At 37.2% G+C, this 18,134-nt stretch overlaps 1 long non-coding RNA gene across 1 annotated transcript in view; it reads left to right on the top strand.

Annotated features, from left to right (window-relative positions):
- LOC105376637 (uncharacterized) overlaps positions 1 to 17,583 on the top strand; it is a 292,809-nt gene extending 275,226 nt beyond the window's left edge. The window contains exon 4 of the long non-coding RNA XR_001748194.1: positions 17,182 to 17,583. This is a non-coding gene — a long non-coding RNA (uncharacterized LOC105376637). The remainder of the gene's footprint in view (positions 1 to 17,181) is intronic.
- The last annotated feature ends 551 nt before the right edge of the window (positions 17,584 to 18,134 follow it).

Genomic DNA, 18,134 nt, shown 5'->3' with positions numbered 1-18,134 from the left:
TTGGATATTCAGGATGCTAATCTGCCAACTTATAAAATAAAGGAATGGCAATTCTTAATTGAATGACAGGGCAAACTTTCTTTTCTAACTTTTCTGCAGCCAAAACCTCAAATCTGAATTATGAGGAACATCAATATGTTAGTTGTTTCCAAAGACATTTTAGAATAGACTTTCACAGAGGAGTCAATTTTATCATTTTATCATGTAAGAAGCTTAGGTAGAAGAGTGTGTCCTTTGTGAACAAAGTGCTAAGGCTGTGGACTGCCATTGTTTTAAGATGAAAAATCTCTTTTTTTTCTGTTGCATCCACATCTTATAAGAGAATTAGATGTCAAGGCTATTCGTTAAACCATGCTAAGCATTACTAATTTAGAGGCTGTTATTTGCAGCACACTAAGACAGGTAATTAGGAACATTTCCGTGAGTAATTTTGAAATGTGACAACTCACTTGATAATCATCATCAGTGTATCTTTGGTCTCTGAAAATGGCAAAAAATCTCCTTGAAATGTTCATTGTTATCTATTTCCATAGGCTGAGGACATGGCTTAATTACCTATGACTTAAAATTATACCATGCTCATTCAAAATTGAACACTTGACATATGTATTAGAATCCAAACTGCTCACTATTTCTGGTGATTGCTAGACCCTAAAACTGCTAGACTAACATAGGTCATTAAACTGGTAAGCCTGTTTTTCCTTTTTTTTTTTTTTTTTTTTTTTTTTTTTGAGACGGAGTCTCGCTCTATCACCCATGCTGGAGTGCAGTGGCGTGACCTTGGCTCACTTCAACCTCCGCCTCCTGGCTTCAAGCGATTCTCCTGCCTCAGCCTCCCTAGTAGCTGGGACTACAGGTGTGTGCCACCACACCGAGCTATTTTTGTTGTATTTTTAGTAGAGTCGGAGTTTCACCATGTTGGACAGGCTGTTTTGCTTTTTCAACAAGTTTAATACTTATTCTATCTATGCCTTATCATTTTCTTTCTTTCCTTAAAAACTTATGTGAATAAACCAAGGCTAGGCCTAAAGAATGCCATAAAAGGTCTATGATCATTTTAAACTGCTTTGCAGGCTTATTCACCACTATTCCCAAATACTGTATGTTTCAACTTCTGTGTCTCATCCCCTTTTCTCCTTTCAGAAAACACAGTTCTTGAGATCTTCAAGACTCTCTGCAGCTCTTACTTTGTCTATAAATCCATGTCTAATCCTTCTCCACCTCACTCTCAGACCTCATGCCCTGTCCTTCTTAGCAGTCAGTCACTTCTTCCTCTGAGATCCCAAAGGAGTGATATTTTTGGAGAATTATCACAATGCATTATGGTGTGCTGTTTATCTGTTTATCCTTCCCATTAGAATGTTAGGTCTTTGTGGCTTGGGAATACCTTAATAATCTTTGTTCCCAAGTATCTAGCACAATGCACATGTATAGTAGATGTTCAATTAATGTTTAATTGAAGTAGCAGTAAGACCCAGTATGCAATAAGTGCTTTTTAAAATCTAAGCACTACATGAAGCATTTTGTCCTTTCAATGATCCTGTCACTTAAAATTATTATACCTATTTTACAGGTGTGTAATTGAGACTTAGAGAGTTTAAGTAAATACTCTAAATTTACATAGCTAGAAAGTGGTTTGCTTTGAATTCACATGGTCAACATCTTTCCTAAAAAAGACAGTCAAAGTAAGGGTACCTCAGAATGTATAGAGGAGTGGGGAATTAGTGTCAGTTTTTCTAGGACTCAAAGATTACAGAATGAATGTGGGGGAAAAATTTGTTCTTTCGGCAAAGTTAATCTTAGAAGATAATCTATTTCAAGTTATGGCATTTTTGCCATGTTGCAGTGGTATTTTTGTAGAACATAAAAATGTCTATTTCAGTGCCATGTGAGCATAACTTTATATAGAATGTGAAAGTATGGAATGAGGGAAGGAAATGCTTGCTGTTTTAGCACCACATTGGTAATATGCTCTGAATATGATGCCTGTCCTTATAGATTAGAGGTGAAAACAAAACTCTTTTTGCAGCAAGGAGAAAGTACAGTTGATTATCTCTTCAGCCAAACCTAACTACACAGGTGGCTGTATCTCCCACCTGTTGTAATGTTTATATCTCTGACCCACTATTGGTGTTTCCCGCAAAAGTCTCAGAAGAGCCATAATTACTCTCTTGCCTGGGTTTATCTCACCCAACATAGTTATCAGAGAACTTACCCTGACAAAAAGTAGAATAAAAGAGGGATGGAAGTAAATGACACAAAATCAGATTTCTACTTTTCATACATTGTGGGAGCAGTGTATAGCAATGTGTGAACTTCAGACTTGGCTTTGGATCTTGGCTCTCTGCCTCTCTAGGTGATTGTGAACATACTATCGAATCTGAGTCACAGCCTCAGTGACTACTTCTGTCAAATGGGAGAATAATGTCTATCTCAGAGGATTCAATGAGAACCTGTAATGCACTGATACTCATAGCATTCAACATATACGGGTTGGGCATAGTGGCTCACGCCTGTAATGCCCACACTTTGGGAGGCCAATGTGGGAGAATTGCTTTAGCCCAGGACTTCAAGACCAGCCTGGGCAACATAGCAAGACCCTGTCTCTACAAAAAAGCCAAAAAAAAATTTAGCCATGCATGGTGGCATGCACTTGTGGTCCCAGCTACTTGGGAGGCTGAAGTGGGACCATTGCTTGAGTCTGGGAGGTCGAGGCTGCAGTGAGCCGTAATCATACCACTGCACTCCAACTTTGTGACAGAGCAAGACCCTGTCTCACAACAAACAAAGACTCTCTGTTTAGTATTAAATCTATGACTTGATGATCCCTCTTGGTTCCTCAGCAGAAAGATTGGCTATTATTCCCAATGGCCGAGTACTTAAACAAAAAACAGGGATTCTTTTTTTTTCTTCCTCCTTGTCAAGTTACATAGTTGAAATAGCCATACACTTACAGTGCTCATAATTGGGTATGTTCACCAAATAGTAATAACCAATATTTTATTTTTCTCTTTCTTCAGAGAGTTTCCTTTAGATGTTTTTAACTATATACCAATCAATTATTGGAAACGTTATGCAAATAAAATAGCTGAAACCATGATGGTACTTTTGGTATCACCTAGGATAGAAAATGATGATAACAGGAGGCTACATTGTATGGTTTGAGGTCCCTTCTCTACTTCAAACCAGCAAGGTAATTACAAAATCTATTTTACATGCTGAGAGCACTGTGTCATTTGAATAAATAATTCTACCATTTTTAAATATATAAAAATTAAAACTTAAAATTTTTGAAATATTTTTACAGACAGTTGAAGTCCACAGAGGAGACATGACTTAGAGCAAGTTTCCTGATGTTTTAATGTAGAAGGAAAAAGAGATTTGATTTGTTTTCTCATGTTCTCCTTCCTTGTCTTTGTCAATGAGAAACTCAGACAAATAAATGATGACAAAAATAAATAAATGAAAGGAAGAAAAAAAGAAGGAAGAAAGAAAACAGAGAGAGATAGAGAGAGGAAGGGAAGGGAGGGGAGGGAAGGGGAAGAAGGGAAGGGGAAGGAGAAGGGGAAGGGGAAGGGAAGGGAAATAGAAAGGTGAAATCAAGAGCTACATTAGTTTCCTAGGACTATCGTAACACAGTAGCATAAACTGGGTGGTTTGAAATAAAATAAATGTATTGTTTCACATTTCTGGAAGCCAGAAGTCTAAAATTCCAGTCATTGTCAGGTTTATGATTCCTCTGAAGCCTCTGGGAGATGATCTTTCCTTGCCTCTGTCAGTTTCGGTTATACTCAGGGGCTCCTTGGCTTGTAGATACATTACTCCAATCCACCTCAGTCTTCACAGGGTGTCCTTCCTGTGTGTCTTCACGTCGCATTCCCTCTTCTTATAAGGATATCAGTCATATTGGATGAAGGATCCACCCTACTCCAGTATGACCTTCCCTTAACCAATTTTATCAGCAATGGCCCCATTTCAAAATAATGTTACATTCTGAGTTACTAGAGGTGAAATTTAAACATGTCTTTTGTGTGTGTTGGGGGTGGAAGGATTGGGGGTGTGTGTGGCAGGGAGACACAATTCAATCCATAGCACTAGTTATTTCCAAAAGATTAAGGTGACACTTATGTAGAAAACATTAAGATTGAATGCCTAGCACTAATAGTGCTGGCCACACACATGCTCAGAACTGTCTTTCCTAGAAGACAGAATAGCACACAGGAGAGTTGAAATGAGTCACATCCCAAGAGTCTCTATGCAAATTCCCTTTACCAATTTGACAGTGCCTGTGAATGCAACATTAGAAATATTCAGTCTGAATGAGTTTTTGTGATCATTAAAATTTAAATATCCCTTGATAGGATAGTGCTTTGAACTGTTGGTTGTTTATACCCTTAGAAAAAATGAGGTTATCAGCTTTTTCCTGAAGACAGCTTTTTAATTTCTAAGGAGAAAATATTAGGGCACTGGATAACTACCAGTTTAAGCAGGAATCAACACTAGCAGAACAAAAGCTTGAAAGCAGTTGAATCAGGGATAGGGGAGGAGCAACTCTTCACAAATCTTGACTAGGCCACAAAATTACTCTGAATAACTATATGAAAAAATACAGTACTTCTATAATTTCTGTTCTATTTTGAAAACAAACATGACAATGAAAACATCTAAAAGAACATACACACGCCAAATTTATTCAGTTAAGATTAGGAGGGAAGGGAAAAACAATGTATTCTTCTTTGACTGAATGCCCCAAATTGTTATGCTGAAAGTGTGCTAAGAAATTTCCATTTTAGCATTAACTTGCTTCCTAAACATTGGAAGGTTGGTTTTACTCTTTATTTTGTTTGTTTGTTTCTGATTCTCATGTGTCTCCTGAAAGTTGCACACCTAAAAGAGCAAAGAATATAAAAATGTACTTTACAGACAGATTGGGATTGATTGACTAGATAGTAGAAATATGCTCTTAAACATGTCTGTTGTTTGTAAGAATGCTTTGTTAAAATTATGTTATTTTTAAAGCCCTAAATGGAATCTGTAAAAATGCATAAAGAACACACATTAATGGAATGAAATTTTATCTTAAAAAGTTCTTACTGACGTTTTGTCAGTACAGGTGGATCTTTATTTTTTATTTTATTTATTTATTTAATTTCTTTTTTTTTTTTTTTTTTTTTTGAGACGGAGTTTTGCTCTTGTCCAGGCTGTAGTACAGTGGCAAGATCTTGGCTCACTGCAACCTCTGCCTCCCAGGTTCAAGTGATTCTCCTGCCTCATCCTCCTGAGTAGCTGAGATTACAGGCATGCACCACCATGCCTGGCTAATTTTGTATTTTTAGTAGAGATGGGGTTTTTCCATGTTGGTCAGGGTGGTCTCGAACTCCTGACCTCAGGTGATCCACCCGCCTTGGCCTCCCAAAGTGCTGGGATTACAGGTGTGAGCCACTGTGTGTGGCTGGATCTTTATTTTTCAAAATGTAAATGGGTCAGTTTATAAATCACCATGGTATAGATGTCAACACCCATTATCATTCTTCTATTCTTTTCCATAAAATACGTAAAAATAGCACGAACCCAGCACTAGAGACTAGGCAGAGGGGAAACATATGGCCCTCTGAATATTGGCCCAGTAGAGTTTTTAAATCTGCATTTTAAAACATTTTTGATAAGATAAAATAAAATAAAGAGAAAGAAGACAGACAAGTGTGTTGGGCATTTGCACCATCTATTGGTGTGCACAGTCTGGTGTTTTCACAATTGAACAGTAGATTCCAAGCTTCTAAGGCAACACAGTGCTGATTGGATGAGAGGATTTGGTAGTAACTAATGAGCGGATTCTCCAAGGGGAACAGAAGCCTTGAAACCAGGTGTGTAATAGTGGAATTGGTTGAGTGTACACCACCAAAAGATTCCACAGGTCAGGGCCAGAAAGGACACTGTGCTGTCTTTCTCACTGCTGCATTTTTTTTTCATGCACATTAGACAATGTCAGTTCTGAGTCTGCATTCTTTTTGAAGTCGGTACACTGAGATTTTGAGTTGGTTGGTTCAGGGCTGTTAATTCTTCATTTCCATGTGGATTCACTAGCCAATAGAAAAGATGTAAAAACTGGAGTTTTACTTCCAAATTTGTCTCTTAAGAAAAGTCACAACAGGACAAAGGTAGATGGCGGAATTTGTGACATTGGCATCTCAGGCAACACATTCTATCACATGAGGTTTTTGTCACCACTGGAAATGAAAGAATACAAAGTCTTCCTTGTAGCAAAAATGAATGCTTCTCTGTGGTTTAAAGAAACTTTGAAACTCCCTTCTCACACAGGTTAAAAAATGGTTCTACTTGGGTGAAACCAGGTGCTAATAGATAAAGAAACCAAACTGTAAACAGAATGATCTAGCGGGGTACTCAGTAAGCTACATTTTCTATTTAACTCAGATGAGGTCATCTACCATGTAAGCACACCTTTATGAGCTTTAAAACCTTTAGCAATCTAATAAGCTCCTCCAGCTTAGCTCTATCCATTAGCTTTTGCTATTTATCCCTATCATATTGTTCATTGGTCCTGCACTAATTCTTCATGTGTGTCCCGTGGGGGTGGGGATATTTATGAGAGAAATGGATATTTCGTAAATATTTCAAATTTTTCATTGTTCTCTGAACTTATTTGTTACTAGCATTTTGTTCTCTGAGTATTCCATGGCATTGCAGATTCTGCGTTCTCTAGGCAGAATACTCTTAATATTTAGGACAAACATGTCAAATACAGGACACTTACATACCTAAAAAAGCAAACAAAAACAGAAAACTTTCTCTGCCAAACTTTCTTCATATGATTGATTTTGTTGTTCCATCCACTGGACCACCCTTAGAAATTTCTGCTAAATTTTGTCATGGCATTATTGTAAACATTGGGATCAATATTCTAGTTCTGGGCAATTATGCTAAAAATCCTGCCCGATAATGGGGTAAATAGGATGCCCATAACCCAGAGGTTTCTTTTTGGGAAAATAAGACCAAAGGAGCTAAGCAAAGCCAAACTCCATGCACCCAAATCTTAGCAGGCATACTTATAGCTACCAGTTATCTGGGCATGTCAGCAGCCTCGGGATTTTTAAGCTGTCCTTACCCCCTTGTTTCATTTTGACATGTGTCTTCTAATAGCCTGGTTTCTTTCTTCTTGCCTCCAGTCCATCACACTCCAAACAGTCATGCAACCGGAGCTTCAGATGATGGCTTTCTTTTACCGGGGACCCCTAGATAGGCCTCTGAGAGAGATCTGACTGCCGTTTCCCAAAACAGCATCCCCTGTCAGCAGGAAGCAGTTCAAGATGGGTCATCATCCCTATCCTAACAGCAGTTAGATGTACCTCTTCAGAGGGGAGAATGATAGTGGCAAGAGGCAGACAAATCCTAGGCAGACAGGGGCGGTTCCACAGTGAATCCTGACTTTCAAGCTGAAGACAGTTTAAAGCCTAACTACAAGTCCTTGGTAAAACCATGGGCCAAATTAAGAACCTCTCTTCCCTTTTGGCACGATTTCCTCTGATTGATCCACACCCTTCACCTATTTTACATATGTCTACACTTCCCTAATTGATTTTTTACACTGTCATGCTCACCTTTGAGTGTGTCTTAGCTTTAGCCTTTTTTTGCATACTCACACACCAATCAGCACACACTCCCCATTTTGAGCCCATAAGAGTCCCTGATTCAGCCACACTGAGAGAAAGACCACCCAACTTCCGGTAGGGAAACACCCTCACATCCCCTTTCCACTGAGAACTGTTTTGTAGCTTAATAAAATTATTCTCTGCCCTCCTCACCCTTCAACTGTTGCATAACCTCATTCTTCTTGGACTTGGGACAAGAACTAGGGACTCACCAAATGCAGGTACAGAGAAGGCTGTAACACTGTGGCCCTCCACCCTCTGCAGATGGAAGGCAGCTGCCCCACATGATGGGAAGGAGCAGCAGCACTTGGAATGGCGGACTGGACCCTGACTTGCTTGCTCATACACCCCTTCCTGGCAGGGGCTGAGTGTGCAGTCACAGTGGCCATGGGATCTGCACCACAGTGCAAGACAGACATAGCCCAGTGGGCCAAGTAGATGGGGCATATCCTGCAGCAAGCTTGGGCCCAAGCAAGGCTTGGGCAGGGGCATCACCAGCTGGATGTCTCCACTCTGGCAAAGTGGCTGAGAAAAATCCTGTGTCATTATCATATTGTATCATAGTTTAAACATTCTTTAAAAACTCATTAAGGACTATTTTATTAATTTTTATCCATTTGTCTGGTATATAGGATAGTATCTGGCATGTCTGACAAACAGCAGGCACTCAAGGAATGGTTATTGAAATGAAATCAGTAGGTGAATGAATGGTGATGATATAACCCAATGGACAGACCTAAAAATGTTGAAAGCCTGTTATTAAATTCCTGAATGGTAGTACCAGACTGGTTTTCTGTCCCACATGGCCATTTGTTCATTTGTTTATTTATGTTTTATTTATACATTTGTTTAGTAAACTTTTTTTTCAGGATTCACTCTATCCAGAGACTGGAATAGACATTGGCAGCATATCAATGTGTAAGACAGCATGGTTGCTCTCAAATTACTGAAAGATAGCCATGCCCATGGTTTATCTTCATTTGAAGACTTTTCCACTTTTTAGTCAGAGAAAATGCAAGTATACCACAAAAGAGAATACTCAGCATTACAGCCAGTGTTACAGCCTATAAATATCTCTAGCTGAAAGCGTGACTAAGACTCCACAGCTGATATTACCCAGCTAAGCCAAAAAGTGAGCTTCATACCCTCAAAGCCACCTTTGTTGTTTACTAATTGCTTTAACCTGCCAAGCTGTGCATTCCTGTTCCATTACTGCTCTTTGATTTATACTGTTAGTCTGTGTTCCTCTGTTCTAACAATGATGGCTTGCTGTAAAGGTGATTGTGTATTCTGTCCCTTCACTTTTCTATGAAAATGAAATGGTGCATTTTTAGAAGCTGTTTTCCCAAGGACAATTTTTAAATGATAACAACAACTGTAAAAACCACCATACAAACACTCATAATCACTGACGCAGAATTGTATCTTTAAAACAACTAACAGTGATTTGTTATATTTTTTGGCATGGATTCACTATTTTTGGATTCTAAAATGGTGATGTCTTGAGAACAGACCTAAGACTGACACTATTGGAGGGAAAAAAACCTATGTGTGAAAATTAGACGTTTAATAGTCCCTCAATAGACTTTTAATAGTCCCTCAATGTCATAGTGTCTATTTAGGAAAGAGAGCTTTAAGATAGACTTGCAGTTACCTGCACTCCAATTCTCCTGGCTATTGAATGAATTACATTGGCTGAGAGGGTACATTTCTCTTCTTGGTCATGGAACACATTTTCATCCTTATTTAAATTACAATATTTTCTAAGATAAATAAAATTGTATAACATTAAATAATAATAATAAGTTTCCTCCCTTAAAGATGTAAGATTAGGATATTACCAATATTTCAAATTGTTGTGGTAGCTGTGTCTTCAATTAGAAGTATAAATTTAAATAGCCAGTCCTACTTGTGAATTTTCTTTTAAATTTTCTGTGTCAGCCACTGTCTTACCTCCTCCCCATCCACATACTGACTGGTATAGCTTTCATGTCAAATATATTCTACAATTGAAGTACATAGGGTTTCGTGAAGTGTCCATTTGGCATCTCCTATTGAGACTGGTACGCTGGGAGAAGATTGTGGGTAAAGCATTTAGATGATGTAAACTCTTCTATTTTAACAGCAACCTGCATGACAATATGCTCTGGGAAGATGATTTTAACTGGCACTTTAATGAGTTAAAAGATAAGTATTGTAAATATTAAGGATTCTTACTAAATAATAGGTGAAAAGAAGTACTTATGATGACCACAGAGCAAATACAAGTAACATGTAATAGAGACACATCAACTTCTTTCTTAGTTAATTTAAAATATAACTATCTAGAAGTCCCTTAAATTAATACCTATGCAGAATACTTTTCCATGTTAGTGAAAAGATAAATTCTGCTTTGTGTTTAACCAGAGTCCCATAATCTAATAAAAATAGAGAGGTTTTAGCATATTTTTCTTTGGGTAATTTTTTTCCGTGAATTGTGATATTAAATACTTTAATGATTGCTTTGATTAGAAAATAAATTAGCAAATATTCATTAAATAGTTGTTAAATGTGAAGCAACAGAGATATATTAAATAGTAGACTTTTTTTCCTTTTGCTCAAGAAGTTTTATGTCAAATTAAGGAGATATATATTAAAACTACATAAATGGCTATGGATATGAAAATGTGTAAAATATAGTATAGTCAGACAACTAAGTCTATATTTGTAAAAAACACATGTTTATGTAAAACACACTCTACTGAAACATAAAATAAAAGGCTATAGATTCCATGTCTCTCTCTTGTAATCTTTCTGTCTCTCTGCCTTTCTCTTTCTCTGTCTCCTCCTTCCCTCGCTAGGCTCAGGTGACAGCAGAGGCCTCTTTCTTTCAGTGGAAATTGTGGTAGCCTGGAAGATACACAGTGGATGCAAGGGATGCAAGCTCAAGTTTCGTGAGAAGAGGCAGTTAACAGTAGGATTCCCTGTAACACTCATTGGGGAAGCACAACGGGTTGTGGGTTCATTGTAAGGCCAGTTCTGCAGTGCAGTTTGGGTCACTGTTCTTGGAAGCCCAGACTTGGTGCAGTAGGAAGATGCTAGGCCTTCCAATTACTTTGTGAACCTTCCAGCAACCTGTTTAAAAAACATACTTCTGCTCAAACAGCTGAGACAGCCAAATAAAAACAGCTTCTTCGCAAATCCTCCCACTGGCCTGCACACAGTGGGGGGTGTGTACTGGGGTAGAGCCTTGGAAATTCGCGCCATTTGCAGAGGGTAGAAGCCTGGCCTCTCCTTATCCAGGGTGGTACCTGGGATTCAGTCTGTGAGGCAGGAAGCCTGCTGGTAGGACTCTCACTTTGCTGAGAGTCTGTTCCCCCCACCTCCCCGCTTTTTGTTTTTTCCTTTTAGCCCAATAAATTCAATTTTTCTCACCCTTCAAAGTTTTTTTTTTTTTTTTTTTTTTTTGAGATGGAGTCTCTCTCTGTCGCCCAGGCTGGAGTGCAGTGGCTCGATCTCAGCTCACTGCAAGCTCCGCCTCCCGGGTTCACGCCATTCTCCTACCTCAGCCTCCTGAGTAGCTGGGACTACAGGCGCCTGCCACCACGTCCGGCTAATTTTTTTTTTTTTTTTTTTGTATTTTTAGTAGAGACGGGGTTTCACCGTGTTAGCCAGGATGATCCTGATCTCCTGACCTCGTGATCCACCGGCCTTGGCCTCCCAAAGTGCTGGGATTACAGGCGTGAGCCACCACGCATGGCGTTACCCTTCAAAGTTTCTGCAAGCCTAATCTTTCATGGTCGTATGACAAGGACCCCATTTTTAGCCGAACTATGGAGAAAGTCCTATAACACAGCCAGAGTCAACTTCTGTTGTGTTCGGCCAAGAGCCCTTGTTGGTAGAAATTGTTTGAGAAAAGAAGAAAGGAGAGAAAGAAAGATGTGCTACCTTAGAATGTATCAACAAAATACACTAGATCACATAGCTTAAGACATTCTGAACGCATGCACACTGTGTAATAGTCAAAAACTGGAAAAACATATAGTCCCATGAATGGATATGGGTATGAAAATGTCTAAGATATAGTATAGTCACACAACTAAGTCTATATTGGTAAAAAAAATTTATATAAAATACACTCTACCAAAACACAAAACAAAACGCTATATATCATTTATATTTTTGTAAATATTTACATATCCACATTCTTTCAGATCTACAGGAAGCAAGGGGCAGAGGAGAAAGTCAAAGTGGGTAATGGGCAGTTTAAACTCTGGTTTTATTTATAATGTATTACTTACAGGAAAATTTATTCCTGTCTTTCCAGTGAACTAAAAATAAATGTAAACATCAGTGTCTATATAATTATTTCAATAGTTATAAACAGATAATAAAAATGTATTATAAATAAGTACATATAAATAAATTTATAAAATGTTCATCATTAGTGTTTTAATTGAAGTACTATGATGAGATGTACTTCAATTAAATAAAAAATTATACAAAAGTGCATTTTGTTTGATTCAAGACAATGTCTTCCATAACCAAAAGTCACACTGCCTGACATGAAATTTTAAAAGACTTTCAAAAGGAACTAATTAATCTGGACTCAAAATGCCAACAGCACATAGTCTTTATAATTTCAAAATTTATGAAGTGTGCCAACAAATGAGATGACAAGTTTAAAGATGTTTGGTAACCAAAATAGCTTCTCCTTTACAGATGTGTTTCTATTAGGATCAAGACTAAGAAATATTACTATGCAAAGATGCGGCTTTTTCTCTGTCCCTAGAAGATGGCACCTACTGCAACAGTCAAGTAGGAGTTAAATTTACTTTTTAAATGGAGGTTTTCAAATTATAAAGCAGATTATAACTGTGCCCCAGAGCCATCTTCTTTTTATTGCATTATCCTTACATAGAAGCCATCGTGATTCTGATGGCAGAGATTAGCTTGAGTAGGTGGTACTGAGTTAATTCATATCCCTGTTGCCCTGGGAGACCTAAATTTAAGCTGCCTATTCTTTCTCAGGGCAAGAAATAAAAATGAGTCGAGTGCCATTTTCTTGGTGCTGTGCATTTCAAAACCTAGGCTTTGTCTCATTTCTTCTCTTAGAGCTACCATTTATTTGCATTTTTTCTACAGGGGAGATTTTACACTACTAACTTTGGTTCAACATCAGGGAAACCAAAAGGAGTTTGTTGAACATACAGCTTTGGAGTTTAGGCACTAAATGAATGGATCCGTGAATAAGTTGAATGATGATTTCTAGTTCATTCATTCACTCATAAATCATTCAGAGGCAGTGCTTTTACAAATCATCAAGCAGGATACAACCAGATTTAGATATTCCTTACCAAGAAAGTAAATGCCCTGAAAATAGGAAGTGCATCTGTATCTAAGTAATCTGTCATTTGAGAAACATTCATGAGGTGACTTCTCTGTGCCAGACATTGTGCCAGGCCCAGGGTATACAAAGATGAGTATGTCAGTGTCATTTCTTTCGATGAAGACTTCTAATCTGGAGTAGTCAAAATTAAAAATTGATACTTTAAAAAATTCAGAACAATGTAGAATACTTTTATGTGTTCTTCATAATTTCTCTCATGGAGCTCTCTCTGGATTAAAAAAATTCTTGAATGAATTAGTGTTTACATATAAAGTTCATTAATAACACAAAAGGATTCATTATCTAACATCCCTCTTTCCCAAGATCTTTGATGTATGCTGACAAACATAAAAGGAGGTCCGTAATATTATGCCATTCACTGCTGTAATAGGGTTAACGGGTTAAAGCTGGAAGATATCAATATCGTATTTGATTAAAATCAACACACACTTAATGCCTAAAGTATTTTCTGTAGCTATGCAAAGGGAAACCACTCCAGCTCTTTCACAGCCTCTGATTAAGAAAAGGGAAAAGACAAGAAACACAGTCAAAAGCTGCCTGACCTTTTGTACAGAGCTGTTGTCAAGACTGTTACCTTTTTGTACTTGTTTGATCAAAAATTGCAGCAGTGCTGCATAAAATAGAGTCAAATGATGGCTCTGCATGTAAAAGAGGGCTCTGAGTGTCTCTTCCTGCACCCTGCTTTTAAAACCTCCCGATGCTTCTGTCTCCACGGTAACAGTATCACCGGGATTCTGTTGAAGTGTGTTTTGAAAGCTGCCTTTACCTGAGAAGTTATCATATGACAGAACTGTCCATCTCTCCAGTTTGCTCAGAATATTTTTCTAATGAAAAAATTGGCCTATATGTATACAGAACCCTATACTATTTCTTCTTCTTCTTCTTTTTCAGAAGTTTGTGAAATATTCCAAATAAATATGATGCCCAAAGTGCATCACATTATTCAAAAGTGTTAGGGGCACAGTTTTAATGAATGAATAAATAGGCAAATTGTAGTTGGGTCAAGGCATCTGGATTATGCTTGCAAACTGCAGAAAACATTCATAGTGACAACCCTGGGTAAGGAACCAGGAGGTGTGTGTTTCTGATCAGGTTTTGCTGCTGAGTAGTTGTGATCTTGGTCAAGATGCCTTTGCTGGGACTTTGTCTCCTAGAAAGTGAGGCTAAACAAGATGATGCCTAAAGCCTCCCTTTAACTCTAATGTTCCCTTCTTCTCTCTGTAGGCTAGAACTCATTTTAATGAATGAATGGTTGATTTTGTTGTCTCATTTTTCACTGATAATTTCTCAATGCCTAATATTTTATCTATGATGCTATTCACTGTTTTAATCAACGTTCTCTCTCTAACATTCTATCCAGGTCCCAAAAGAACACTGACATTGACAATAACGTCATTGTCGATTTGCTTCCATGTTAGTTCATTAAGAAGTCAATACAGCTTAGATTTGTGCTGTACGATTCTGTAGCCACTGGCTACTTGTGACTGTTTACATTTAAGTTGAAGTTTATTGAAAGTAAATTAAATTAAATATTTATGTCCTCAATTTCACTAGTCACATGGGACTAATAGCTACGATACTGAACAACAAAGATTTGAAATACTTTTATCATTGCAGAATATTCTATTAGACAGCAGTGACCTAAATTGATTCTGATTTCTACCACAGGAATGTCCTTTCTAAGTCTTAAGCTAGGAGGAACACCAGTCCTGTGCCTGAGGATTCTGTCCTATCTATGAACTCCTAACTATATGGCTTTGTGTTTGGGGAGCAAACTAATATTTACAAAGCGATGTTGTAACACTCAGAAGACTACATAGCAAATGTCTAATACATACAAAAATCTCTAAAAATATTTCCTGAATGAATGACTAAATGAATGAATTAATTAATTCAAAGCTAAATAGGATCATTTATACCAAATCTGGAAAAACCAACTAAAATAAAAATAATTAAATAACTCTTTTTGTAACAACTGTTAAAAGAACATACCCATTGGAATAAAAATAATGCCTAATACGGCTTTAACAATTTGAAATAGTGGCTATAAACTCAGTCACCTACATAGGAAAGTATGCCATGAATTTTGAGACCATAAGTAGCAAGCCTGTACCAAACTGAAGACAACATTCTACTCATTTTCATCTAAAAGAAGCCAGAAACCTAGATATTTTCCTCAAATAGCTTGAGTTTAAATGTGGGCAAATAATTCTATATCTATCTATCTGTCTGTCTATCTATCTATCTATCTATCTATCTATCTATCTATCTATCATCTATCTATCTGTCAAATAAACCTTGTCTTGAAGTACACAGAATATTCTGGAGTAAAGAGTAGTTCAATTAATATATATTTTTAAGTTTTTCAAATCATGACATAATGACTTTCAGAGGTTAAATAAAGTCCAAATTTTCATAACTAAAAAGTGGCAATGTCAGGAAGTAAACTGCAATATTCTGGGATTGATTTTTGCTGTCTTTTTCTTCAATGATCTCATAGTAATAGCAATACAAATGTTAAAAAGAGATTCAAGAGAGGCTGTACATTGGGACTAAAAGAAGGATATTCCAGTTATTTATTTCTGCATAACAAATTATCCCAAACTTATTATAACCATATTTTGGAAAATATAACCTACCAAAAACCTTTTTTGTTAGTATTTATACAAAGAAACATTCATTTTTATTATTCATATAGTCATTTCTTATTTAGTCATCAATTAGTTATTAAATTTTTATTATAATCCAGTTGCCATGTTAGCCCCATAGAAGAATAAGACAGACTTTAGCTGCTTATATAACAAAATAATAGCAATAATTATTCAAAGTCTTATTGGAAAGGAAAATGTTATCTGCAAAAAACATATCAGAGAATGAGATCATTTTAGCCTGTCTCATATTATTGTAATTTTGGGAGGTTAACTGGGCTCAACTAAGTGGTTTCTTCTCAGGATTTCTCATGCAGTTGCAGTCATAAAACAGCTGGGATTGGTGTCATTTCAAAGCTTTCTCATTCCAATATCTGGCAGTTAATGCTGGTTGTTCTCTGAAATCTTAGTGGGGCTATTGGCCAGAACATTTATATATGATCTTTCTACGTGGCCTTAGCTTTCTCACAGTATGGTGGCTGGATACCAAGGATGAATTTTCCAAAAAAAGGAAAAATGCCATAAATTCTTTTTATGACACAACTTCAGAACTCACATAACATTCACCATAATCTGTTAGACAAGGCAATCACAAAGATCTGTCCTGGTCTAAGGGGAAGAGACTCTGCCTCTTGTGAGGGGCAGGGCACAACGATAGAAGAGCAAATGAGATATGTAATATCACTGAAGCTATTTTATAGGAAAATGCAATCTGCCATAGAGACTTAATTTTATTTTTAATATTTTTATGAAGAAGCATTTCCTTTGTTTATTCATTTATTTACTCATTGTTTCAATAAAATTTATTGATTTTCTACTGTATTTCAGGTAAGTTTCTACTATGTTTCTAGAAGAAAATAATACAGTCACCAAACTTAGGAGCTGATATAAGAAAATACTAGCAATAGTGTGTTCAAAGTCCTATTGGAGGGGCAAGGGTGACACGCAAAGGAAACACATCAGGGGATGGAAACGTGAACTTCTTCAATTTAGAGTGCAGAGGTCACTCCTGCTGTTATTTTTATTTTGTGTTTCTGTAACACAAAAAAATCAAACAGTACCATTCCCACTGGTTTGGTCAACACATGGTAATGTTGACTGACTGCTCATTTGCTCTTCATAAAGTGAGCTTAAACAAACAAACAAACAAACTCTTGACATTAAAATTTTAGTAATCTTGAGATTCCAAAAAAATTCAATTATACTCTTGATGATGGAAACTTTATTCTAGTTTGTTTTATTTTCTTTTATAAGCATGTTCTAATTGTTTCAAAGTCTGAAATCATAGGCAGTGGGGAAAATGTAAAATAATTGAAGAAAATTTTAATATACATTTATTGTCAACAAAATCATTTTTAATGAATACATAATAAATTTATGATTGTGTTAATTATCTACTTCTAGTTAACATATTATTTCAAAATGTGTGGCTTAAAATAATAATCACAGTTGCTCTTATTATCTTTTACCATTTCAGGAATTCAGGAGCAGTTTGGTTTGACAGTTCTGATTCTAGGATTTTCATGAGGTTGGCGTCAGATCTCAGCTGGAGCTGCAGGCATCTGATGGTTTGAAGTTGGAGGATCCATCCCCAAGGTACCTCACCAAAAGATTGTCAAGTTAGTATTACAAGTTGTTTCCTCTTCATGTGGCACCCCTCTCAGGCTTAATTGAGTATCTTCACAACATGTCAACTGGCCTCTCTCATAGCAATTAATCCAAGATACCAAGGCAGAAACTGAAATATTTCTGTGATTTTGTCGACCTGGGAAGTAACATACCCTCAGTGCTACCATAATCTATCGTTATATTAGTCAGGGTTCTCCAGGAAGACAAAACCAATAGAAGATAGATGATAGATGGATAGATAGAAATAAAGATGGATAGATAGAAATAAAGATAGATAGATCATGATGATGATGATGAAGATAGATAAGTAAATAGACAGATGGATGGATGGATGAAAGGGAATTCACTGGGGGAATTGGCTTATGCAATTATGGAGGCTGAAACATCCCATAATGGGCTACCTGCAAGCTGGAGAACTAGGGAAGCTGATAGCATGACTCAGTTCAATCAAGAAGATTTTAGGAAGCCAGTGGTATTACTCTCAGTCAGTAGATGAAGGCCTGAGAGCCTGGAGAGGAGCTGGGGTTGAAAGCCATTTTGGAGAGTGGCTACTACAATGATTAACCTGTATATATTGAAATATTATAAGTCACTGGCTGGGTGCAATGGCTCATTCCTGTAATCACAGTATTTTAGGAAGTTAAGGCAGGAGGATTACTTGAGCCAGGAGTTTAAGAGCAGCCTTGGCAACATAGTGAGACCCCCAACTCTACAAAGCACTTAAAACAAAAATTAATTGGGCAGGGTGGCTGTAGTCCCAGCTACTTGGGAAGCTGAGGCACAAGGACTGCTTGCAGCCAG

This window comes from Homo sapiens, chromosome 11 (assembly GCF_000001405.40).
Source record: "Homo sapiens chromosome 11, GRCh38.p14 Primary Assembly".
Taxonomy (NCBI): domain Eukaryota; kingdom Metazoa; phylum Chordata; class Mammalia; order Primates; family Hominidae; genus Homo; species Homo sapiens.
This window is presented reverse-complemented; position numbering and strand designations above follow the sequence as displayed.